Here is a 26,894-nt window from a genome sequence, read left to right as displayed (position 1 = left end):
GCCTGGATCCATCATTCCCAGCATTATGATAGCTCCTTTGTCTCCTTGGAAGAGCCCAAAACCCACAGCTGAGGCCTCAGGGCTTTTCTAATGTGCTTAGAACAGGGGTAAAGGTAATGCCAACCAAAATGGGGAAACCTGTATTCCTGCTCAGTCACTGCTTAGTCAGCATAAATCACTCCAGAGGATAGTTTCTGACCTCAAAGACTGAGTTACAAAGATGATCACCATAGCATTGTTTACAGTAGCACCAAAAAAAGGAACCACCTAAATATCTCTAAATGTCCAACATCACCGTTTGAAAAAATAAAGAATGGTACATCCTTCCATGGAATGTACCTTAAATCCACCCAAAATCATACTGCATATGGATATGCAATGTCAAGGAAACTTACTCAGGAGTCCTAGCTTGGGGTCCATGGACGTCCAAGGAGATGCTTATCAAAGGGAGTTGGCACCCCCTGAGATGCTCATGAAAGTGCAGACTTCCGGGCCCCCCTCCAGACTGAATCTGCACTTCCAGCTTGGAGGGCAGGAATCCTAACAAGTTCCCCAGATGAGTCTCAGGCACACTAAAGCCAGAGCATCGATGCCTGGGACCCAAAATAGGGAAGAAGCACTCTGGTGTATCAAGAGGAAAAAAGCAAGTTACATACAAACGCAGTATACATAAAAACACCGCCTTCATGTGGGTGTGGGTGTCGATGTATGCGTACTTTTGAAAAAAAAAATTATCGGCTGGGTGCGGTGGCCCACGTCTGTAATCCCAGCACTTTGGGAGGCCAAGGTGGGTGGATCACCTGAGGTCAGGGGTTCAAGGCCAGCCTGGCCAATATGATGAAACCCTGTCTGTACTAAAAATACAAAAATTAGCTGGGCGTGGTGGCAGGCATCTGTAATCCCAGTTACTCCAGAGGCTGAGGCAGGAGAATCGCTTGACCCCAGGAGGCGGCAGTTGCAGTGAGCCAAGATCATGCCATTGCACTCCAGCCTGGGTGACAAGAGTGAAAGTCTGTCTCAAAAAAATAAAAAAAAAAAAAAAAAAAATATATATATATATATATATATATATATATATATATAATTTTTTTAATTTTTATTTTTTAGAGACAGGGTCTTGCTGTGCCACCCAAGCTAGAATGCAGTGGCACAATCTTGTCTCACTACCCAATCTCAAACTCCTGGGCTCAAGTGATCCTCTCCACTCAGCCTCATGAGTAGCTGGGACTACAGGCATACTCCACCGCACCTGGGTTTTTTGTTTTGTGTTTTGTACAGACAGGGTCTCACTATGTTTGTGTTCCCTGGCTGGTCTTAAACTCTTGGCCTCAAGCGATCCTTCTGTGGCCTCCCAAAGTGTTGGGATTACAGGCGTGAGCCACCATGTCCAGCCTGTGTGTGTGTACTAATAGCTACCTAGATAACAATACTTAACAGCAATTACCTCTAGATTACCTCAGCACCATTGACAATCAGCCCAAAGACTTTGTGGTGGGGCTGTCCTGTGTGTTGTAGGGTGTTAGCAGTATCCCTGGGTGCAGTAGTGTAACAATCAAAAATGTGTTTGGTAGCACAAAAGTACAACTATAGTTAACAACAATTTATTGTATATTTTAGAGTAACTAACATAGTGAAATTAGAATGTTCCTAACACACAAAAAAGATACATACCTGAGGGTATGAATATCTGTCACCCTGATTTGATTATTATTTATTATATGTTTATATCAAAATATCACATGTACCCTGTAAGTATGTATAAATATTATGTATAATTTAGATTTATTTTAATTTTAATAAAAAATAAATATTAAAAAATGTCTTCAGATATTGCTAAATGTCCCCTCAAGGAACAAGGTCCCCAGTTGGAGAACCGATTCTCTAGATGGGACATGTATAGATGATGCTTTCCTTTGTTTTTTAGTATATATGCCTATTTTTTAGTTTTTTCTAAAATAAGTGTACTTTAGTCATGTTAAAAAAAAACTTTGTATTTATTACTGTCCCATTGCCTGCACTGTCTGAAAAAAAATACACTCAAATGAAAAGATACATTAATACTTACATTAAGAAAATTAATTTTATTATTATTTTAAAATAGCTGTGGAAAAACTATACAAAGGCCTCCCAAATGTCAATATTCCTTAGGCACCTTTGAAATATTTCTAAACTTAATCTTTGGACTAGGCATCCTAATTGTAATTCCATATCTTAAAGAAACAATTCTAAATATAGGAAATGCTTCACAAATATGGTTGATTTTTGCAGAGTTACCTATAAAAGCAAAAAGTTATAAACACTGTAAAACCAACCATAGGAAACTATGTTAATTAAGGTACATTCACTTGATAGACTATCATACAGCATTAAAATGATATTTATAAAGAACTTATAACAATATGGGGGCAAGGTTTATGCCATATTGTTAAGTAGGAAAATAACTGAATACAAAATCAAATATGTTACATCACCATTCAAAGGTATAATAATGACAATAAAAAGAATCTCATCAACATGGTCGGAAGAAATACACCAAGATATTAAAAGTAATTGTTAATTGAACAATGGCATCGTAGGTGACTTTTTCTCTCTACTTTTCTGAAATATCCAAATTTTTTACAATAAACATGTGTGTATTTACAGTGAAAGAGAGAACAGTGAAATTTCTTTTTAAAAATACTTGAAAATGATCACAAAAATGTGCCAACATTTCAGGTAAGAAATGTGTTTTTATATGGGTCTGTATACAAATTTCTATCCAGCTGATAAAAATAACTTCAAGAAATTAAACCTATTCAGAAACAATAGTGATTGTGTCTAAATTCATAGGCTTTGAGAAGGATAAATTTTTAAAGTATAAATTACTATGCAGGTGGTCAGGAAAAGGTTGTATGGAGTCACATGATAAATGACACAAAGAAAATGCTTTTTATGAAAAACAAACTGGATAGATTGTTTCCCAAGCCAGAATCACATTCTTCTAAATCATTTAGAAGGCAATAAAATAATTTGGGCTTGATTAGCATTTAACTAACCAAGGACAGATTCCAGCCACCTTATGGATTTTGATCTAACTTGTTTACATTCATCAGGGGTGATGGGCAGTTCCAGCCCACAGGAAGCACAATCTTTGCAGACAAAAGGTGGCCCTTCTCATGTTTGTCAGGCAATATTTGTCCAACCTGGCCATTCCCAGTTGGCTCCAATGAACTCTTGTTAGCTCACTCTTGTTAGTCACTTGTTAGTCTCTTGTGGACCCAGACTATATCTTACAATAGACCTCAAAGAGGGAGGCAGCTGCGTGCATTGCATAGAAAATAGAAAAAGCCATGGCCAGGTTGACCACAATTATCCAGGGTTCAAAGCCAAAGACAATCTCCTCCAATCCATTGTCATACTCAGGTCGACAGCCAAAAGCGGGAGGTATCCAAAGCTGCAAGAGAAGAGAAAATGGCCTGTGGTGGGGAGCAGCTTCCAAGCCACCACGGAGGCCCCACTCAAGTCCCAGGCCTCATGGGAGCTGACCCTGATGCACGGGGACTGAGTCACCCCTGACAGAACAATAAGGAGACCTCGTGGCATTTCCCATCTCCACAGAAACCACCAAATCCATGTCTGCCATGATCCTGCTCACTTCCTCACCCACCCTTCCCTGCAATCCATCCCTAATGAGTGCTCTTTGAACCCATCCAACTCTCTCCATCTCTACAGCCCTCGCCCAGCCTCAGTTTCCTCATTTGAAAGATGGGAATTCTAACACGTGTCTGAGAGGGCTTAGATGAGAATTAAGTTTGCAAAACTGAAAGCAGTGACTTTTGTTTGTGTTGCTCACAGAACCTACACACTGTTCCCTGCTTCTCAGGCTCTTCTCTGTCCCAGTTCTCTCCCTTTCTGCCACCCCTTGAGTTGTCAGGCTCCTCACTCCCGCTTCAGGCTGCACCCTTCTTCAGCTTCCTCCACTCCCTGGCTGTGGCAGGCAGCCTCTAGGATGACCCTCAATGATCCCCAGCTCCTGCAGTCACCCTCTTGTGGAGTCCCCACCCCTTTAGTGTGGGATGCACCTAATGACTCACTTCCAACTCACAAAATATGGCAAAAGACACAGGAAGTCACCTCTGAAATTAGGTTGCAAAAGGACCTGCTATCCCTCTTGCTCATCTTCTCCTGAAAGACAGGTGGCAGAGCTGCCATGCTGCGAAGCACCCTATGCGGCAAGGGGCCCAGGGAGTACCCCTGTCAACAGCCAGCAAGGAACTCAGACCCTCAGCCCAACAAGCCACAGCTGAATCCTGCCAACAGTCACATGAGTAGATTTGGAAACAAATCCTCTGCCACCTCTCGGAAAGTCAAGCCTTGAAATGAATGCAGCCCCAGCCAACAGTTTCAGCCTGGGAATGGCCCTGTGCAGAGATACTCAGCTAAAACTGTAGTTGGAGTCATAAGTCAGAGAAACTATGAAATCATAAATGTACATTGTTTTAAGTTGCTGAGTATTGGGGTGGTCTCTTCCATAGCAATAGGTAACTGAGACACATAGCCTTCATTTGTATCTCCATACAGAACACTCCCTGGTATATACAGCCGACCTCTGTATCCAGGGACCTGTGTCTGTGGATTGAACCAACCACAGATCAAAAATATTCAAAAAGTAGGCTGGGCACAGTGGTTCACACCTATAATCCCAGAACTTTGGGAGGCCGAGGCAGGTGGATCACCTGAGGTCAGGAGTTCAAGGCCAGCCTGGCCAACATGGTGAAACCCCATCTCTACTAAAAATACAAAAAATTAGCAAAGTGTAGTGGCATGTGCCTGTAATCCCAGCTACTCAGGGGGCTGAGGCAGGAGAATCCCTTGAACCCAGGAGGCGAAGCTTGCAGTAAGCCAAGATCATGCCACTGCACTCCAGCCTGGGCAACAGTGAAGCTCGGTCTCAAAAAATAAAAATAAATTAATTAAAAAAATAAAATGGTTTGTTGTGTCTGTACTGAATAGGTACAAACTTTCTTCTTGTCATTATTCTCTAAACAATACAATGTAACAACTATTTACATAGCATTTAAATTGTATTAGGTATTCTAAGTAATTTAGAGATGTCTTAAAGTGTACGGGAGGATGGGTAGGTTACATGCAAGTATAGGACTTGAGCATCTGTGCATTTGGTATACACCACGGGGGCCCTGGAACCAAGACCCCTCTCTTCTGCTTTGCTTACTGGCTGCTGTGACTCTTAGGAGCTCTCCTACTTGTTCGGCGGGTCCCTCCCAGTCTCCTTTGCTGTTTCATCCTTTGCTCTGCCTCTTAATGTTAGCCAGCGTCCAGGGCTCATTCCTGGGTCCCTTTCTATTCTCTCTACACATGAACCCTGGGGCTCTCTCCCAGTCCCTGGTTGTAAATACCAGCTATAGGCCTATGACTTCCCAGTCTCAATCTCCAGCCTGGACCACTTCCAAGAACCCCAGACTCATAGTTTCCGGTGGCAACTTGGGTGTCTAAAACACATCTCAAACTCAACCCACCTTCCCCATTTCTCCATCTGCTCAGCTACATCGTCCTCCCAGGTGGTCCATCGAGGCTCCAGGTGTCAACCTTATCTCCCTCCTACTCTCATAACCATGCCCCCTCCCATCCAGTCCCTCAGCGCATCTCCACTGTGCACCTCCAAAGCAGTATCTTCAGCCCACCTGTGGCTCTCTCTCTCCACCTGTCCAGCTGGCCTCTCTCACCTGGACCATGGCGGTGGCCCCGTGCCTGGTCTCCCAGCTCGAACTAGGGTTCCACTCGGCCACCAGATTTACATTATATGGAAATCAGATCCTGTCCCTACCTTGATTAAACCCCTAAAGTCTTCCCAAAATATTTAAAATAAATTCTACACTCCCGCACGGAGTGATAAAGTGCTCTGTTAGCTGATTTCTAACCACCCACGCTTCTCTCCACTCACCCCACCCACATTGCAGGCAACCCTTCTTCCTGTTTCTCAAACCAGACCCGCTCACTCCCACTGGGGGTTTTATACCAGCCATTGTTCCCTCTGCCCTGAACATGCGTGGCCAACCCCTTCCTGTCTCGTGTCACCCTTCAGCGAGGCCTTCCCGCTAAGCTGGTCCATCTGATCTACAATGGCAGCCCAAGAGCTATTTCCCACACCCTCCTTTTCCACTTCTCTGCTTAACACGGGTACACTATAAGGTGTCTTTCTTGCTCAGTTGATGGTTTCACCTGCTGTTGCCTGGTTTGTAAGCCCCATAAGAGGAAGACCAGAGATCTTGGTCATTGCTGTACCCTCACCATTCATAGCAGTCCCTGTACCTCTGTAGGTACTTAAGGGACACCTTTTAAAGGAAGGGTGAGAGGAAGGGCAAGGGAGACAGGGAGGAAAAGGGAGAAGAAAGGAAGGCAGGAAAATGGGACCTCTTTTCTGAAATCCACATCTTTATATGTGCTGTTTAGTTGGCTGGAAATTCTTGTTACTTATCCTATTGAGAAGTGGCCTATGACCTCTTTCTTTGAATCTAGATGGACTCTGTGACTACATGACTAATAAAATATGGCAGAAATGACACCATGCAGTTTCCAAGCCCAGGCCTTAGGAGACAGGCAGCTTCCAGTTCAGTCTTTTGGAGGGTCAGCTCTGGGGCCCTCAGCCATCACGCATGGAGTCCAACCACCCTGAGACGTCATGCTGGAGACCCACCTGTGGATGCCCCAGTCAAGAGTCCTGGCTGAGCCCAGCCTCCCAGCCACCCCCACCCAGGGCACCAGACCACGGAGCTTCTGGCCAAGGCTTCACCAACTTCACTTGATGCTGTGAGGAACAGAACTGCCCATCCAAGCCCTGCCAGAATTTCTAACCCACAAAGCCACGAGTCACAATAAATGCTATGGGACAAAAACAGTCATGCATGTTGCTTTTGTCATACATTAGTGGTAGTTCATTGCACGGCAATAGAAAACCAAAATATCTGTCTACTGGGTTCGTCCATTTGGATGCCACAGAGGCACCTGAAACAGAACACGTTCATTACTTAACTCTGGTTCTTCCTTCCACACTGACCTCCACCCACTGCTCCCAAGGTTGCCCCTCCTCCAGAGTCCTCCTCCATCTCCAACATAGTATCACCATCTCCCCAGGAACTCAAGTGTGAAGGCAGGGGTCATGTTTGGCGTCTGTCACCCTTTGCGAGTTGCAACCTGGAGACCCTGGAGGATGTTATGATGAGTGAAATAACCTAATCACAAAAGGACTAATACTCCACAAATTCACTTATATGAGGAGTCTAGGAGTCAAATTCCTAGAGACTGAAAGAACGGTGGTTGTCAGGGGCTGGGGAGAATGGGGAGTTCATATTTAATGGGGGCAGAGTTTCAGTTTTGCCAGACGAGAATAACCTGGAAATGGATGGTGTGATGTTTGCACAATGTGAACGTACTTTACTCCACTATACACTTGAAAGTGGGTGCAATGGGAAAGTTTATTTGATGAGTTTTTTACCACAATTAAAAATATAACAAAATAAGCATGAGTCAGATCCCGTCACTCTCAGTGTAGACCTTTCCATGGTTTTCTGTTGCATTTAGGATTGAGTCTTGGCTCGCAGGCCCTGTGTGGTCTCCCCTCTGCCCTCTGCTCTGTGCTCCCAGGTCATGTCCAGTGAGCCCTGCCTTGCCTTGCATCCGTCCCTTCCCCACACCTGCAGCTCTGCCCTGATAGTCTCTCATCCCAGCCCCATCCACACCCTTCCTTAGAAGAGGCCTTCCCTGACCCATCTCCCACAGCACCCTGCCCTTCCCGGTCACCACAACCACCCTCTGTTGTCTCCAGTGCCACGGCTCCTGGAAATTCAACTAACATTTCCATGTCCGTCTCTGGAGTGGAGCCCACTCCACCTGGACATGCACATCAGCACCTGCAGCTGGGGCCTCTGGACTGGCTCCCGATGCTGGAGAAGACAGCTCTTGCTCTCTGCCAGATGCCTTTGGCACCACCTGGGGTCAACCACAAGGTTTCAAAGTGCCACCCATGAGCCAGCACGGGTATCCTAAGACTCCACCCTGCGATGATTTCCATCCTCTGGTTCAACCCCCCAGAACCCAACCAGTGCCTGGGGGCATCATGGGCCAAGCACAGGGAGGAAGAGACGGAGCCCACCCTTCTCCTTGGACTGGGCCCTGGGTCTGGCTTTCGGGTCCTGACAGACCATGAATTGCCACTTGATTCTGGTATTTCGGACAGTGCTATCTTTCTTCAAGTGGGTCCAAAAATGCAAGCCAAGTATTTCACCCAGTGGTCAACCAAAAAGGCAACCAGGGAAAGACAACTTTTCAGAACTTAGTTTTAAAAAGAAATATTAGGTCAGAAGCAGTGGCTCGCGCCTGTAATCCCAGCATTTTAGGAGGCCTAGGCAGGCAGATCACCTGAGGTCAGGAGTTCGAGACCACCCTGACCAACCTAGTGAAACCCTGTCTCTACTAAAAGTAGAAAAATTAGCTGGGCATGGTTGTTGCATGCCTGTAGTCCCACCTCCTCGGGAGGCTGAGGCAGGAGAATCACTTAAACCCAAGAGGCGGAGGTTGCAGTGAGCCGAGATCGCACCATTGCACTACAGCCTGGGCAACACAGCAGGACTCCATCTCAAAATATATGTATATTAATATTAATCACAGGATATGTACAAAAAGCATATACTTGAGGAAGATTCTAGAACTAGCTCTGACTTTATAAGAATTTGCATTTTGGAATAAGCACCTCAAAAAAATGCAGCTTACAGTATCTATCTCTCTTGTTAACTCTTTCAATTTTTGACTCACTGCTGTGCCCCTGACATAGTCCCTGGCATACAGCAGGTGCCTGGCAAATGTCTGTTAGATGGAGAAGATGGTCTCCCTGCAGCCAAACTCTTCTGGGCCTTCCACCTTCAGAGCCCCTCCTCACTGCCTAGCAAACTGAAGGAACCTGGGTGATCCAAGGCTAGGGTGGATCAGGTTTGCTTGGCAGACACACAGCCATTCTGACTTTAGAAGGGACTTACTTTCCCAACTTTGTGTTCTTAGGGTGATATCAAAAGCTGCAGACCCCGTATGCACCATCTGAAATTCAGGGGAGGAAGCTCAAAAGCCTCTGAGCTGCTGGGGCAACAGGGAGCAGGCTTGATAACAGAGGCTAGTAGCACAGAGCTGACTTCACCCAGAGTGATGGGCAGGCACCTCTGTGGACTGGGGCACTCCCCTCCAGCCACCAGTCACCATCACTGCAGAGACTCATGCGGTGGCAAAGGCTGCTTCCCCCTCCTTCTTACTGACCCCCACCATCCTTCCTTTATGTGTCTTTAAAAAAATCCCAACAGCACACAATGCTTCTTATTCCTTTTTCTTCTCTCCATCCCTCCATCACTGCCCTAGTTCAAGCTCCTCCCCTTCCTGCCTGGGCTGTTGCAGGGCTTTCTCTCCCAGTCTTTCTGCTTCTGGCCCTATCTGTCTCCATCCTTGCTACACACAGCTACTGGGAGGATCATTCCAAAACACAAATCTGAGAGAGTCTTCCCTTGCCCTCAGCATAAAGACTAGACTCCAGCCAGGCCTAGGAAGCCCTGCTCAAGCCAGAGTCCACCTACCTGGGCCCTCTCTCCTAATTCCCATTCTGCTACTCTGCTTAACACACATGGAATTTATGCCAAACTACTTGGTGCTCTCAAAACATGCCATGGTGTCTTTTGCCTCTGTGTCTTCACATATTGTGTGTCTCTGCCTGAAATGCTTTTCCCCGCCTTGATAACCTGGTGAACTTCCAGTCATTCCTTGCTGATGCAGACAGATGGGTGAGTGACTGTACACCTTCCTCTCCCTTGCTACCTTCCATCAGAGAGGCTGGGAAGCAAACCCTCTACTTCCCCAGCCTCCCTTGCAGTGAGGGGTGCCCACATGAGAGACATTGTCTGGCACCAGCCCTTCCCCACTGCTTTCTGTCTTGAACCCAGATGTGATGCCTGGTGCAGCTGCAGCCATCTCATGACCATGTCACAACAAACACCACACCACCCAAGTGACAAGATGAACAGTGCCTGGATGCCTGATGACATGGTTCAGCTGCCAGGCCAACCCCAAGCAGCCAACCTCCGGAATTCTCATGAGATAATTAAACATTGTTAAGACTGAAGACACTGTGAATCAAATTGCCTGTCACTTGCAACTAAAAGCACTCCTGATTGACACTGGGCCTCACCTCAAGCACCCACTACTCACTGAAGTCCTTCTGGATCCCTGCTCCTAGTACACCTTGCACAAGCCCATCTCAGCACTTGTCCTGTTCACTATATTAGATTTGCTCATTGTCTCCCTCCCCCATTATACTGAGACCTTTTAGAGGAAAGAGACTGAGTCTTTCCACTTTAATCTTTAGTACCTAGCCCAGCCCCTAGCACACAGCAAGTCTTTAGTAGGTAGATTTGTAGAATATAGGTCTATTTTCCAGCCTTATATTGTAATTTTATACTTACAGTATTTTTATTACAAGCTGCCTCCATTCCTTATTTTAAAAAGGCAAGAGAAACCTAGATGTCCATCAATAATGGACTGGATAAAGAAAATGTATTATGGCCGGGTACAGTGGTTCACATCTGTAATACTAGCACTTTAGGAAGCTGAGGCAGGAGGATTGTTTGAGCGCAGGAGTTCAAGACAAGCCTGGGCAGCACAGTGAGAACCTATCTCTACAAAAAAAAAAAAAAAAAAAAAAGTTTTGGCCAGGCATGGTGGCTCACACCTGTAATCCTAGCATTTTGGGAGGTCAAGGTAGGTGGATCACTTGAGGTCAGGAGTCCGAAACCAGCCTGGCCAACATGGTGAAACCCCCATCTCTACTAAAAATATTTTCAAAAATTAGCCAACTGTGGTGGCAGGTGCCTGTAATCCCAGCTATTCTGGAGGCTGAGGCAAGAGAATCACTTCAACTCGGGAGGCAGAGGTTGCAGTGAGCACCATCGCACTGTAGCCTAGGCAACAAGAGTGAAACTCTCTCTCAAAAACAAAAAAAGTTTTTAAAATTAACCAGGTGTGGTGGCACATGCCTGTGGTCCCAGGTACTCAGGAGGCTGAGATGGGAGGATTGCTTGAGCACAGGAGGTCGAAGCTGCAGTGAGCTGTGATCATGCCACTGCACTCCAGCCTGGGCAATGGGGCGTGACCCTCTCTCAAAAAAAAAATAAATAGAAAATGTGGTAGCTCTACACCATGGAATATTATGCAGCCTTAAAAAAAGAATGAAATCACATTATTTGCAGCAACCTGGATAGAAATGGAGTCCTTATCCTAAGTGAATTAACACAGGAACAGAAAACCAAATACCTCATGTCCTCTCTTATAAGTGGGAGCTAAACATTGGGTAGTCATGAACACAAATATATGAACAATAGACACTACTAGGGACTACTGGGGGAGAGGTCGGAAGTGGGGTGCAGGGTGAAAAACTACCTATCGGGTACTATGCTCATTACCTGGGTGACGGGATCATTTGTGCACCAAACCTCAGCGACACGCAATTTACCCATGTAACAAATCTGCATGCGTACCCCTTGAACCTAAAATGAAAGTTTACAGCAAAATTAAAAGAATAAGAATAACTTGGTGCAGATTACCAAAGTATTGCAGAGGAACAAGAAGGCTGCAATATTCCTCAGGACTTTTCTCTTGGCGTTGCCCTGTAAGAAACGAGGAAGGTGGACTGGGCTTGGGTTCCCTCCCCAGCTGCTCTCCTCGTGCTTCTCCTCCTTGTCACAGCTTTCTCTCAGGCACACATTTCCATTGGCTGCTGGTGGCATGTCCCTGCCCCAGGGAGCCACGTCTCCGGCCACACCTCCACTCTTGAGGCAGGAGGAAGCAAGGGGCATGGTGTTGCCATTGCAGACTGTGACCATCCGAAGGGTTTGGATGTCCTCAGAGAGTTTTTTAGGCTCTCGGTGAATGGATTCAAAGATGAAGAGGTTCTGGATGTACTTCTCCACGATCACCACGATGGAGTAGGGCAGGTTGTACCAGGTGTAGTGGGGGTGGTCCTCGGCACAAAGGATGGCCAAGATTGAGCCCCAGGAGATAAGCCAGGAGCCTGAGGCAGTGCCCACCAAGAGGTCCGAGTCCAGTTTGCGGGGCGGATTTTTGGACTCATCCAGTGACTTCTCATCTGTCCTGTAAATCCGGATTCCAGCCAGCCCCGCAGCCCCCATAAGCTTCATCAGGGTGATGACATACAGGTAGAACGTGATGAGTGCTGACTTGCTCTTGGTCTTGGAGCACCCAATATGAATCAGGTACACCACCCACCACCACGGCAATGGTGGCGGCCAGCGCGGTCAGGCCCAGGACTGTGCCCACTGTGACCCCATCAGGCTTGAACTGCATCTTCTGGTGCTGATGGCTGTCAACTTTGCGCCCGATGTTCTTCCATAGGACGTAGAGCACTGTGGAGGCCAGGATCTGATACTCTATGTTGAAGGGGTAGAGGTAGTAGATATAGTAGATCCCGTGGGAGATGGTGGTGCAGAGAGTTGGGGGCGTGCAGTTACATTGCGGTGTGTGGTCATCTAAAACTAGGGGAGACAGGTTGATCACACAGGGGGGCTATTAGCAGGTGCAAGGGGAAGCAGAAAAGCACAGAAAACTGTTTCCACTGTGGATTCAGGCTTGGGTCTTCCCACTGGATTACAAGCTTTTTCATGTCATGGCTTATTATCACGTTTAATATCATGGCTAATTTGATAGCCCTGAGTATCCCCAAAGCATATTCATTACCTAAATCACATTTATTTGGTGAGTTGCCAAAGAGGATAGAGAAGATGACTCTATTGTTGTAAAAAATAGATATGTAGATGATAGATAGATAGATGGATACACACACACACAGACAGATGGAAAAAACCTGGAAGGACACAAACTAAAATGTCAACAATTGTTATCTCTGGGTGGAAAAATGACAGATGATTTTTAATCTCTTCTAGATTTTGCTTCCCTGTATTTTCTAAATTTTCTCTGTGAAGATGATTTACATGTGTGATTTTTTAAGATTATTTTTAAAAAATACTTTCTGGAGAAAATACCCCTTTTAATTAGCAAAAGATATGCCTCTTAAGACTCCAGTGCTAGCAAGCATGCAGGAGACAGGTGCTCTCCGATATCAGTGCGGGGAAAGTAAACGGGCACCACCTTCTGGAAGAGAAGCTGGCTGTCATATGGAGGGCCCTCTCATCACAGGAAGGCAGATGCTGCAAGTAAATGACGAAACAGGTCACCAAAGCCCTGAAGGCGATGCAGTCTCTGACCCATAATTCCATTCTTTCCATTCTACCCTTCTACTCAAAGGGACAAATAAAAAAATGTAATCAAAGAGTCAGGTAAGGCCAGGAGTGGTGACTCAGCCCTGTAATCCCAGCACTTTGGGAGGCCAAGGCAGGTGGATCACTTGAGGTCGGGAGTTCGAGACCAGCCTGGCCAACATGGCGAAACCTCATCTCTATTAAAACTACAAAAATTAGCCAGGTGTGGTGGCAAGCCTGTAATACCAGCTACTGGGGAGGCTGAGGCAGAAGAATCGCTTGAACCTGGGAGGCAGAAGTTGCAGTCAGCTGAGATCGCACCACTGCACTCCGGCCTAGGTGACAGAGCGAGACTCAGTCTCAAAAAATAATTTAAAAAAAAGTCAGGTAAAATTGTGTGTGTGTGTGTGTGTGTGTGTGTGTGTGTGTGTGTGTGAGAGAGAGAGAGAGAGAGAGAGGAACAGCTCAAGGTCCAACAACTTAGAAATTGTTAAGTAAATTTTAGTATATCCCAACAATGAGATAGTAGACAGCCACTGCACGTTATAATTAAGATGTGCTTTATGGTTTTGGGTATGGGGGGGGTTGTTTTGTTTTTTGTTTGTTTTGAGACAGAGCCTCCTTCTGTTGCCCAGGCTGGAGTGCTGTGGCACAATCTTGGCTCACTGCAACATCAGCCTTCTGTGCTCAAGCATCCTCCTACTTCAGCCTGCTGAGTAGCTGGGACCACAGGCCCATGCCACCACTCCCGGCTAATTTTTATATTTTTTGTAGAGACAACGTTCCGCCATGTTGGCTAGGCTGGTCTTGAACTCCTGAGCTCATGCGATCTGCCCGCCTCAGCCTCCCGAAGTTCTGGGATTAAAGGCATGAGCCACTGCACCCAGCCAGGATGTGTTTTAATATTAAGAAAGTAATCTCGTTTCAAGGAAAATGGAAAAAAGTAAGAACAAACTGTATATTTCTTTAATGCAAGTCACAACCCAGTACAAGGCTGTAAAATCAGGTAGCAACCAACTTTTTTGTAGCAGAAATAATTTTCAGTGGACTAGAATAGGATAGAATGGAGTGGAATCAACTCCGATAAAATTTGGAAGCATCTCTGATACAGTAAAATTAAGTATTATTTCATCAAGCATACACACATAAGTATGTGCGTGTTTGGATTACAGTGTAAAATCTGTCTCTTATTGAAGTTTGCAATAAAAAAAGATCAAATATATAGTATAAAATCAACTATAAATAAATGGCACACTACAAAAAAATAACCAAACATTCACAGCATTTACTGCATTTCTGGGTAAGTGTTGTGGATTTTTTTGCTTCACACTTTGTCATTGTTTTAGTTTATGATATGTATATATTACTTATAAAATCTGAGAAAAGCAGCTGGGCGTGGTGGCTCATGCCTGTAATCCCAGCACTTTGGAGGGCCGAGGCAGGTAGATCACAAGGTCAGGAGATTGAGACCATCCTGGCTAACACGGTGAAACCCTGTCTCTACTAAAAATACAAAAAATTAGCCAGGCGTGGTGGTGGGCGCCTGTAGTCCCAGCTACTCAGGAGGCTGAGGCAGGAGAATAGTGTGACCCCCGGGAGGCAGAGCTTGCAATGATCCGAGACCATGCCACTGCACTCCAGCCTGGGCGACAAGCAAGACTCCGTCTAAAAAAAAAAAATCTGAGAAAAACTATATCGTAGCATTAATTTTACTTTCACAGAACACTATGAAATTTTCTTTTTCTTTTTTTATTCTTTTTTATATAGGGTCTCCCTCTGTTGCCCAGGCTGGAGTGCAGTGGCACAAACACAGCTCACTGCAGCCTTGACTTCCTGGGCTCAAGTGATCCTCCTGCGTCAGTCTCCCATGTAGCTATAGCTGGGACCACGAGCCCATGCCACCATGCCTGGCTTTTTTTTTTTTTTTTTTCCAGAGCTGGGGTCTCCCTTTGTTGCCCAGGCTGGTCTCAAATTCCTAGGCTAAAGCAATGCTCCTGCCTTAGGATTACAAAGTGCTCAGATTACAGGTGTGAGTCACTGCCCCAGTAATAATCTTCAATTCACACAGGGCTTCCCTAGCACTTACAATTCAATACGGTGTTATGCAGAAGACAAGGGAAGAAATCAGGAGGAAAAGTTCAGAGTAACAGAATGTTACAGCTGACAGAGTCCTTTTTTAGAAAATTAATCCAACCTCATCTTTCACAGAGGGCCTTGAAGCCAGATTGTTAGGATTCAAATCATGGCTGTATCACATGTTCACTGTGTTACCCTGGGCTAACTTCTCCGTGGCTTGATGCCTTCATCCATATAATGAGGTTAATATTGTCTACCTGAGGCCAGGCGCAGTGGCTCACGCCTGTAATCCCAACAGTTTGGGAGGCCAAGGCTGGCGGATCACAAGGCCAGGAGTTCGAGACCAGCCTGGCCAACATAGTGAAACCCCGTCTCTATTAAAAATACAAAAATTAGCCAGGTATGGTGGCATGCACCTGTAGTCCCAGCTACTCAGGAAGCTGAGGCAGGAGAATCACTTGAACATGGGAGGCAGAGGTTGCAGTGAGCCGAGATCACGCTACTGTACTCCAGCTTAGGCGACAGAGTGAGACTCTGTCTCAAAACAAACAACTATATATATATATATATATATATATATATATATATATATATATATATACATACACACACACATACACACATATATAGCCTACCAGAGAGTGTGGGGGTACAAATTAAATGACATGTGTAAATTTCCAACAACAGTGGCTGGCACTCAGCAAATGCTTAATAAAAATTTACTTTTGTTATTGTGGTCATTGCTGCTACTAATATTGATACCAAGGAGGACATGAGGCCCAAACACCGAGTGCCTGCTGGTTGGGGGTGGTGACTTCGTTGTCTCCACCCCACTGATGACAAAACAGGTTCAAAGTGGCTCTCCAGGACAGCTTGGGTTCACACAGCTGTCACAGACTTGCTGCATGTTAAAGCTGGAAGGGATCTTTGCAAGTGCATGATTTGGATACCCTCACTTTACAAATGAGAAAAGGGAGGCTCAGAGAGATTAAATGTCTTCTAAAGATCACACAGCTTGTACATGATGGGAACAAACCTGAGACACCCAGTTCCCTGCCCCACATTCCCCTCAGCCTGAATGTTCTCATATAGAAGTGACATATTGTAAATGCTAAAGGATTTTAGATGAAAATATAAAGATTAACCCAACAGGCTCTCAAATAGGAACAAGGTAGAACAGACATGAGCTAGAATTATAAGCCAACTACAGTTAAATTAAAACTTTAAATGAACCACAGCCTATTAACCACAACCTACCATTAGACTTTTATGAATTTTTAAAAGCCATACTTTTACTAGAAAGAACTGGTAGTAGAGGTTTAATTAAAAACACAAGCAGAGGCAACCATCAATCTTCTGTAGTTGAAAACAAAGACATTTATTTCTGCGGCAAACTGGACCATGAGAAATGGCCATCAGAATGATCACCGTGGGTCTTACAAGTCCCTGAGTCATGGAAGAAACCTTTAATTATGCTCAGTACACATCACTTATGAGAGATTCAGGTTTTGGAAGATTTTCAACAACAGGGGGCTGTCTGGCTGATGCTGACTTTGGTGGGCCTGAAGTTCTTTGGAACCTGCACTCCATCTCTGAACACTGTGGACTCTGCAGGTTTCCAAGACATTCCAACATGGCAGAGGGGCCACTCACCTCTCTCAGCACTCACCTGTTGTTATGTTCCCAAAGCCCAGAGTGATGAGCCATTCCTTGTGCTCATTGGTGCTTTGACTCATTGAGGACGCCGTTGGCCCACAGAAGCAGGTTGGTGAACACCAAGTGGATCACCCCAAACCTGAAAAACACAAGGACTCAGTTCTCAAGCAGCCCTGGGAGAGCCTCAGGCACCATAGGGTGAGACAGACATGTGCACACAAATACACGGCTCCTTCTCAGCCATGATTCTGGCTACATCATGGATGACCCTTGAGAACGTTATGCTGTGAGAAATAAGCCAGACACAAGAAGACCAATACTGTATGGTTCAATTCATACGAGGCATCTAGAATATTCAAACTCATAAAGACAGAAAGTAGAACAGAGTTTGCCAAAAGCCAGAGGAGGAGGAAATAGAGAGTTGTGTAGTGGGCTCAGAGTTTCAGTTTTGCAAGATGAAAAACGTTTGCAGATTGGTTGTACAACAAGTGAATGTACTTAACATTAATGAACCATACGCTTAAAATGACTAAGATGGTAAATGTTATGTGATTGTCAACCTGAAAAAAAAAGACACTAGAGAAAATTATCACTAAATATGTTGGATTTACTTGGAAATAGGAATTACAGTCCAGAATGCATGGAATGGCAAGCCACCAGCGCATTCGGTGAGGGAAGGGTAAGGAGGAGCTGTTATTAGCAAAGAGAGATTTACATAATCCACAGAGAAAAAGAGTTCATCGGTTCTAGAGGCTCAAAGCCAGAGTTGTCATCAGTTCATTGGTGGAGATGCCAGTGCTGGACAAGTGTTCTTCCAAGAGCATCTTATCTGCTTTACTGCAGTCCTAAAGAATGTCTAGTAATGTCCAACCTCTTCAAAGCAGGAGATGCATGAAGGGTTTTTAGAAAGTCTTTGGAAACACTTTGTATCTCAGACACGTAGACAGAAGTGCCCTCTCCTTAGCGCCTTCCCAGGCCTATTTTGCCTGGGTCTGACAAAAGCGATTTCATCCTGATATCTACAGGTTTTTCAGTATTTGCCACAATTTTAAAATAAATGCTCTGTTTTTTAGAACAGCGCCTAATTGTTATATATACTTTTTTCCATTCGCCAGTCATCTAATGTAGCAAAAGCACATGGTAAGTGTCCAACAGGTATAGAATGATTAATTCATTGACTTGCCTGGCCAATAAAATGCCTTAAATTAGAAAGCTAGGATCTCCAACCCACCAACTAAGAGGGATATTTTGAAAATTCATATCTGTCCCAGTCATTCTTCTGCCTAAAGCCTTCAGTGGCTCCCCACTGCCCTCGAGGTGAAGCCCAAGCCCCTAGGTGGCGGTCAGCCTTGACCAAGAATTTGCTGCACACCTAGCCCTGTGCCAAGTGCTTTTCATACACATGTGCCTTTAATCTCTACAACGAGCCCATGAAGTAGGTACTGTGATTGTCCTCAGCTTGCAAGTAAGACCCATGAGGCCCAGAGAAGTTAAGTAATTTGCCTGAAGTCACACAGCTGTGGTCAGAGCCAGAGTCATGCAATCTGACCAGAGTGCAAGCTTACAAGCCCTACACCAAACAGGGATCCAGCCTGTGCCCACACATCCTCCCGCTACCCCACTGTGAGGAAAGACTGCATGTCCCAAAGACACCCTCTTCCAGTGGCCTCTGACCCACTAACCCTGTGCTCCTCCCTCTCTCACAAACGGTTCTGGGACCTTCCCTGGCAGAAATTGACTGTCACTCCAAGCTGCCAAAATGCCCTCCTTTGTGCTCCCTCATTGCTCTGGGACACTCTGGTCAAAGCACTGAGCCCAGCGTTGTCACTGTTTTGGGGACTGCCTCTCACCTAACTGACACCCCCATGGTGTGTGACACAGACTTTACAGCCTTGTATTCCCCATGCTGAGAACAATGTTCGTCCAGTATTTAAAGATGAACTACAAGAAAAATGAATGAACGAATGCAGTTCGTTCTGGCCTCACGAAAGCTTTCCACATTGTCACTGTATCACTATAAGGCTCTGTCTTCACGGGATTTGGCTCCCCTGGAATGAGCAGCCAGTTATCTTTGATCAGCTTGGGCTGCCATAACAAAGGACCACAGATCATCAACTTCAATAACAGGAATTTCTCTTCTCAGGGTCCTGGGGTTAGAAATCCAAGATCAAGGTATGGGCAGGGTTGGTTCCTTTTGAGGCCTCTCTCTTTGGCTTGTAGATGGTCAATTTCCTCCAGTGTCTTTACATGGCTGTCTCTCTGTGTGTGTCTGTGTCCTTCTCTCCTCTTGTTATAAAGACACCAGGGCCAGGCGCGGTGCCTCACGCCTGTAATCCCAATACTTTGGGAGGCCGAGGCAGGTGGATTGCCTGAGGTCAGGAGTTCGAGACCAGCCTGGCCAACATGGTGAAACCTCATCTCTACTAAAAATACAAAAGTTAGCTGGGCATGGTGGCAGGTGCCTGTAACCCGAGCTACTTGGGAGACTGAGGCAGGAGAATTGCTTGAACCCAGGAGACGGAAGTTGCAGTGAGCCGAGATTATGCCATTGCACTGCAGCCTGGGCAACAAGCAAAATTCCGTCTCAAAAACATAAAAAATAAAGACACTAGGCATATTGAATTTGGGCCAGCCTAATGATCTTATTTAACCTCAATCTCCTCTAAACGACCCTATCTCCAAATACAGTCACATGCTCAGGTACTGAGAATGAGGGTTTCGGCATATGAATTTCACAGGGGATATGACTCAGTTCATAACAGCTTTCAAGTGCAAGGCAGCCCCTCCAAATGAGCCCCTCAGCAAGCTCCCCAGTGATCCCACCATGCCACCATGGAGCTAAACTGTTTCCAGGCTCACTGGGCACGTTCTGTCTGTTAGCTTCACTGTTTGAGAATGTGTTTGATCTAGAGAAACACTCTAAGGTCATCCAGTGCTGTCTGGTAAGTCAGCTGGGGGTACAAGCTGACGGTCACTTTGGATAAAAGATGAAGTTTTAAACATGTCATCCCTGGTTTTCTAGAGGTAGAAAACTTTCCAAAGAACCTTCTCAAACTGGAAATCCAAAAATATTTCCAGCAATGGCAGTATCACCAGAACAAGTTCATGGTCTTCCAGGGTGACTTGTCAGGAAGAAAATAATCATTGTGTCTCCACAGTGACTTTGAGCAAGTCACTTGTCTTCTCTGAGCTCCAACTTCTTCGTTAGAAAAAAATGAGAGCAGAGCCTGCCATTTGCAACAACATGGGCAAATCTGGAGGACATTGTGCTCAGTGAAATGAGGCAGACACAGAAAGAAAAATACTGCATAATCTCACTTATATGTAGTATCTAGAAAAACGTTTTTAATCCAATGCATAAAAACAGATGGTAGAAGCTGGGCATGGTGATGTGGGCCTGTAGTCCTAGCTACTAGGGAGACTGAGGCGGGAGGATCACTTGAGCTGAATTCAAGGCTGCAGTAATCCGTGATGGCACCACTGCACTCTACCCTGGGCAACAGAGCAAGACCCTGTCTCTAAAATTGAATTAAATTAATAAATAAAAACAAAATAACATAAAGAGTAGAATGGTAGTTGGAGGGGAAAAATTAGAAGATTTTGGTCAAAGGGTACAAAGTTGCAAATACGTAAGATGAATAATTCTAGAGATGTAATGGACAACGTGAAGACTGTAGTTAATACTATTGTATTGTATACTGGAAATTTGCTAAGAGAATAGATTTTAGGTGCTCTTACCACATCCAAAAAAAGAAAGGCAACTATGTGAGATGACAGACATAAATATGCTTGACTGTAGTAATCACTTCACTATGGATAGGAATATCAAATAATCATGTTGTATACCTTAAACATATACAACAAAAAACAAAAAAAAATGAGACTGATAATTCAACAATTCAGATCCTGACTCTGATAACATTACCACGGATTTCTGCCAAGGGCGAACACTACCCTGAAAGCCCATCTAACATTCTTTTCAACCATGAGATTTTTCTGACCCTAAGCTATGTATTTAAATTATATTTATCAAATCCTTCCTTCTGAGCCATACCAAGTTTACCAATGCTGTGGGAAAAAATCCTTATACATTTCTAAGACTTTAATCCCCAAACGAGAAAACAAAAGCGCTTCCATGACCCAGAGGAGGCATTGCAATGGCACAAGGTTTCTATGTAGGAAGAATATTAAATTTTTTTAAAAAATAAAATTGATTTTGGCAATGGTTGCATAACTCTATGAACAGACTAAACCGTTGAATTCCACATGTTAAATGGGTGAATTATATGCCATGTGAATTCTCTCAATAAACCTGTTACATACCCAGAAAATAAAACTCCCTCAAGCTTTTACTGTAGACCCTGGCTTGGCAGAATTTCCTGACTCTTCATCATTAGAAGTTCTGCCTCATAGGATCCCTGCAAAAATGGCCATGGGGACACAGAGTTTTATTTTGCAATGGAGGCAGCTGAAGAATTAAGCCTCAAAGATAGACTTCAGTTCACCTCAGTTCATTGCAGTTCACAGCTGTGCACACTGTCTCCACTTGCCACATGTCTTGATGTTACAAGTTTCTACACAACCTGGGATACACTTCACAGGAATGAGACAACATGAATAAACATCAGTGGTTTACCTGCAACAAAGTATGCACTGAATGGGTGACAGGGAAAACTCCTTCAGTGGCTGATAAACATTCTGAAAATCCAATGAAGTATCTAATTTTAAGGCATCCCAGGATGATGGTAATGACTGCAAACAATGTGATACTACCTAAATGTGGGATAAAGGGGGAAGTGGAAACACACACATTCCATTAATATACATTGATGTCATTTCAAAATAAATTATATTACATATTAAACCCTTATGTATATGGTCAAATGATTTTTTCACAAGGGTGCTGAGACCATTCAATGGGAAAAGGGCAGTCTTTTCAACAAATGTGGGAAAACTGGATGTCCACATGCAAACGAATGAATTTGAACCCTCACCTTACAGCATATACAAAAATTAACTCAAAACAGATAAAAGATCTAAACATAAAAGTATAAACCTTGTAAAAGAAGACATGGGAGAAAGCTTCATGACATTGGCTTTGGCAATAATTTCTTGGCTAGGACACCAAAAATGCAAGCAACAAAAATTAAAATAAATAAGATGAACTACATGAAAATGAAAAATTTTTGCACATCACAGGATGCTACCAACGAAGTGGAAAGACAGCCCACAGAACCGGAGAAAACATTAGCAAATTATATACCTAATAAGTCATTAATATCCACAATATACAGATTTGTTTACATTAAATACCTCATATAATGAAATCGTACAGTACTGTCCTTTGGTGGTTGAGTTTATTTTACTTAGCATAATGTCCTTATGGCTCATCCATACTGTATCGTGTGTCAGAATTTCCTTCCTTTTTAAGCCGAATAATATTTTGTTGTATGTCTATACCTCACTGTGTTTATCCATCTATCTGTTGATGGATGCTGGGTCGCTTCCACCTTTTGGATACTGAAAATAATGCTGCTATGAGAGAATTTATAGAGAATTCTTATACATTGACAGCAATGGGCTGGGCACAGTGGCTCGCACCTGTAATCCCAGCACTTTGGGAGGCCGAGGAGGGTGAATAACTTGAGGTCAGAAGTTGGAGACCAGTCCGGCCAACGTGGTGAAACCTGTCTCTACTAATAATACAAAAATTAGCCTGGTATGGTGGTGCATGCCTATATTCCCAGCTACTTGGGATGCTGAGGCAGGAGAATCCCTTGAACCAGGGAGGCAGAGGTTGCAGTGAGCCGAGATCATGCCATGGCACTCCTGGGCAACAAGAGCGAAACTCTGTCTCCAAAAATCGATCAATCAACAATGACAAAAGCCAATTTAAAAATTGGCAAAGGACTTGAATAAACATATCTCCAAAGAAGACATAAAGATGGCCAGCAAGTACATGAAAAGATGTTCACCATCACTAATTATTAGAGAGATGCAAATCAAAACTACAAAATACTTTCACACTATCAGGATGGCTACTATCAAAAAAAAAAAAAAAGAAAATAATAGAAAATAACCAGCATTGGTGAGGATATAGAGAAATAGTGCTCTGTTGGTAGGAATGTAAATTGGTACAGCTACTACTGAAAACAGTAGGGAGGGCCTTCAAAAAATTGAAAATACCATTATGGCATGATCTGGCATTTTCACTTCTGAGTATATACCCAAAAGAATTGAAAGCAGGGACCCGAGGGGATATCTGTATTCTCCTGTTCATAGCAGCATTATTTTCAGTATCCAAAAGGTGGAAGCAACCCAGCATCCATCAACAGATGGATGGATAAACACAATGAGGTATAGACATACAACAGAATATTATTCAGCTTAAAAAGGAAGGAAATTCTGACACACGATACAGTATGGATGAGCCATGAGGACATTATGCTAAGTAAAATAAACTCAACCACCAAAGGACAATACTGTAGGATTTCATTATATGAGGTATCAAACGTAAGCAAATTCATAGACAGAAATAGAATGGTGGTTGCCAGGTGCTAGAGGGAGGGAAGAATGAAGAGTTAGTGTTTAATGAGGACAGAGTTTCAGTTTTGCGAGATGAAAAAGTTCTGGAGGTTGGTTGCACAACAGTGCATATGTGCTTAACACCACTGAGCTGTGCACTTGAAAACTGCTAAGTTGGTAAATTTTATGTATATAAATGCATGTTTTACCATAATTAAAAATATATTAATAAAATAAATTCTAGCCCAGGCATGGTGGCTCATGCCTGTAATTCCAGCACTTTGGGAGGCCAAGGCGGGAGGATCACTTGAGGCCAAGAGCCTAAGCAACCCCATCTCTACCCAAAGATAACATAATAATTATTTCTAAATAAATAAACAAATTCTACTGTTGAGCTGCGAAGGTAAAACTAGAAGGCAGGTGTTGTGTCCCGTTCATCATTGTACCCACCCCATAGCCCAGAGTCTGACAAATGATACACAATCAACGAAGCCTGGTCCAGTCAACAGAATGCTCCCAGAAGCTTTTTCAAAAAGGAGAAATCTAAGAATGTCACTGCTCTACTCAAAAATCTCAGTTCTCTAATCCTAAAATCCTGTTCTCTAAAGAATAAGAGTGCAGCTGGCTGGGTGCAGTGGCTCACATCTGTAATCCCAGCACTTTGGAAGGCCGAGGTGGGTGGATCACCTGAGGTTGGGAGTTCGAGACCAGCCTGACCAACATGGAGAAACCCCATCTCTACTAAAAAATACAAAAGTAGCGGGTGTGGTGGTGCATGCCTGTAATCCTGCTACACCGGAGGCTGAGGCAGGAGAATCACTTGAACCCGGGAGGTGGAGGTTGCAGTGAGCCGAGATTGCATGATTGCATTCCAGCCAGGGCAACAAGAGTGAAACTCTGTCTCAAAATATATATATATTAATAAGAAATAATAAGAAATAAGAGTGCAGAGTGTGCAGGTCATACAGGTATACAGGAATTCTCTGAACTGTCTTTGCAACTTTTCCATAAATCTAAAGCTTTTCTAAAATGGAAAGTTTATTTATTTATTTATTTGAGACAGGGTCTTGTTCTGTCACCCAGGCTGGAGTGCAGTGGCACGATCTTGGCTCACTGCAACCTCCACCTCCCAGGTTCAAGTGATCTTGTGCCTCAACCTCAATCCCAAGTACCTGGGATTACAGGTGTGCTGGCCAGGCTGGTCTTAAACTCCTGGCCTCAAGTGCTCCGCCTGTCTCAGCCTCCCAAAGTGCTGGGATTACAGGCATGAGTCACTGAGCCCGGCTGAAAGTATATTAGAAAAAAAAAATAGATGGGTAAGGGCTCTATAGTAGTAGCTGAGGAAGGGCCTGTGCTAGGTGTACTGAGGAAAGGAAGCAATCTTTGATAGTATAATGAGCATGGCTTTGCCCAAAACATAAAGACAAACTAATAAAAAATTTGCATATAAAAAAGACTGGAAAGGAATGTACAAAATACATTAAAAAGACACTTGGTGACAAATGAAGAAATTAGTGAGAAAAAGGCAATGATCATGAGTGCTTGATCAAGTCAGAGTTCCTCATCTCCCTCCTGGGCTAGCAATGACTGCCATTTACACATTTGCTCCTGCCAACAGGAGGAAACTGGATCATGTATGACATGCATTAAGGCACTGAGCAGAGAGGAGGGCATGAGCCATAACATTGGGCTATAACGTTACAGCCCCAGCCTGAGAAGCCTCCTCTGAAAAGTAATGCAATCGCCTGGCACTTTTCCACTGCTCAAAGCCTTATAGAAACAACTCTAACTCACATTTTTAATCCTGGAAACACCCCAATGAAATCGGAAACGTTGTAAGAGTGGAGATTCAATCCCAGTGCTTTGAAATGTTTTGACAAATACGTGGTTGGTTTTAATTACAAAAAACATAGCAAGATCAGGTGAGGCAGCGTGGTTGAGTGGCAAGAGTACAGGCCTGAAAGTACGGAGACCTGGACACTCACAGAATACATGAGTCACTTCCTGCTCCCAACCTCAGGATTCCCATACAGAAAATGCGGATGGTCTACAGCAGTGGTTCTCAAACTGGAAACTGCATCAGAATCACCTGCAGGGCTTGTTAAAACACAAATTCCTGGGCTCCACCTCCAGAGTTTCTGATTTAGTAGGTCTGGGTGGTGCCCCAAAATTTTCATCTCTAACAAGTTTTCAAGTGGGGCTGCCACTGTTGATCTAGGCCCCGCTTTGAAAACTACTGGTCTAGACCATCTCTGTGGTTGACATGCCAAGTGTTCAATAATATACTCTTTCAGTCCTCCCTTTCTTCCTGTGTTCATCCATTCATCCATGGATTCATTCAGCCAGTTGTTTATACAACAAACACCTTGGGGACTCCTACTATGCATGAGACATTGTGCCAAGGGCTCAAAGACAGACATAGGAGATTGCTGTAGAAACAAAAATATACGAGTATAATATTGCATAAATTAGGGTGTGCACAAAATATCAGAGAGATGAGCTGGCAACAGACTTCCTCTGTGCAGCCTGGGAAACCAGAAGACAGTGGACATATGTGCCACAAGGAAAGGACTGCACCTCAAAAACCTTATTCTCAGCTAAGATGTCGCCCATGTGTCAGGGCAAAAGGCAGAATGATGTTTGAAGTATACAAAATGTAATTTTTTCAACAGCTATTTATTGAGCAGCAACCATGGGCCAGGCATTGTCCCAGGCACTGAAGATATAAAGGTCAATAAAATAGAGTATCTGCCCTTGAGGAGTTTCACATCTAGTGGGGAAGGCAAAAAATAAACCGGTAAATAGTAAACACATAAAGAATGTCAGGAAGTGCTAAGTGCATGAAGAAAAGTAAAGCAGAAAAGGGGACTGAGGTTGAAGGTACATGGGCAGGAAAGGAGGTGATTGTTGAACAGAGAACAGAGAAAACTGTCATCCACATAACTTGTCTGACAAAGGACTTTAACCAAGGAGCTTGTGAACTGGAAGAGAGTCCCCAAAAGAGGGGAAGATGAGGAGGAGAGCAAATTATAGTGACCAATCAACTCTGTGGAAGGCTAGAGGAGGGTGGAGGTATAATGGATGGAGAGACAGATGGAGATAGATAATTAGATTAATAGGAGAGAAAAGAAGAACTTAAATTCAAATGGATAAACTGCCTGAGATGTGTAATTTACATACCCTATAAAGACTTGTCATACAGAATAGACATTTTGAGGCGAAATTCTATTAACTATCTCTACAAAACCCATAAGTTCGGCCAAGCACAGTGGCTCACACCTGTAATCCCAGCGCTTTGGGAGGCCGAGGCAGATGGATCACCTTTGGTCAGGAGTT

General features: G+C 44.2%; 1 long non-coding RNA gene and 1 pseudogene across 4 annotated transcripts in view; one reads left to right on the top strand and one right to left on the bottom strand.

Moving 5' to 3' along the window:
- Positions 1–7,519, top strand: part of LINC02802 (long intergenic non-protein coding RNA 2802) — a 42,825-nt gene extending 35,306 nt beyond the window's left edge. For 2 of the 4 annotated variants that reach the window (NR_199614.1, NR_199615.1), the window contains one exon: positions 6,517–7,519. This is a non-coding gene — a long non-coding RNA (long intergenic non-protein coding RNA 2802). Of the gene's footprint in view, positions 1–3,402; positions 4,962–6,516 lie in introns of those variants that run through there. The other 2 variants (NR_199617.1, NR_199616.1) reach the window with 1 other exon arrangement.
- LOC100996731 (proton channel OTOP1-like) overlaps positions 2,068–26,894 on the bottom strand; it is a 34,022-nt pseudogene continuing 9,195 nt past the window's right edge.

Source organism: Homo sapiens, chromosome 1 (genome assembly GCF_000001405.40).
Source record: "Homo sapiens chromosome 1, GRCh38.p14 Primary Assembly".
NCBI lineage: Eukaryota > Metazoa > Chordata > Mammalia > Primates > Hominidae > Homo > Homo sapiens.
The sequence above is the reverse complement of the archived record's forward strand: the minus strand, read 5'-3'. Positions and strand labels throughout refer to the sequence as shown.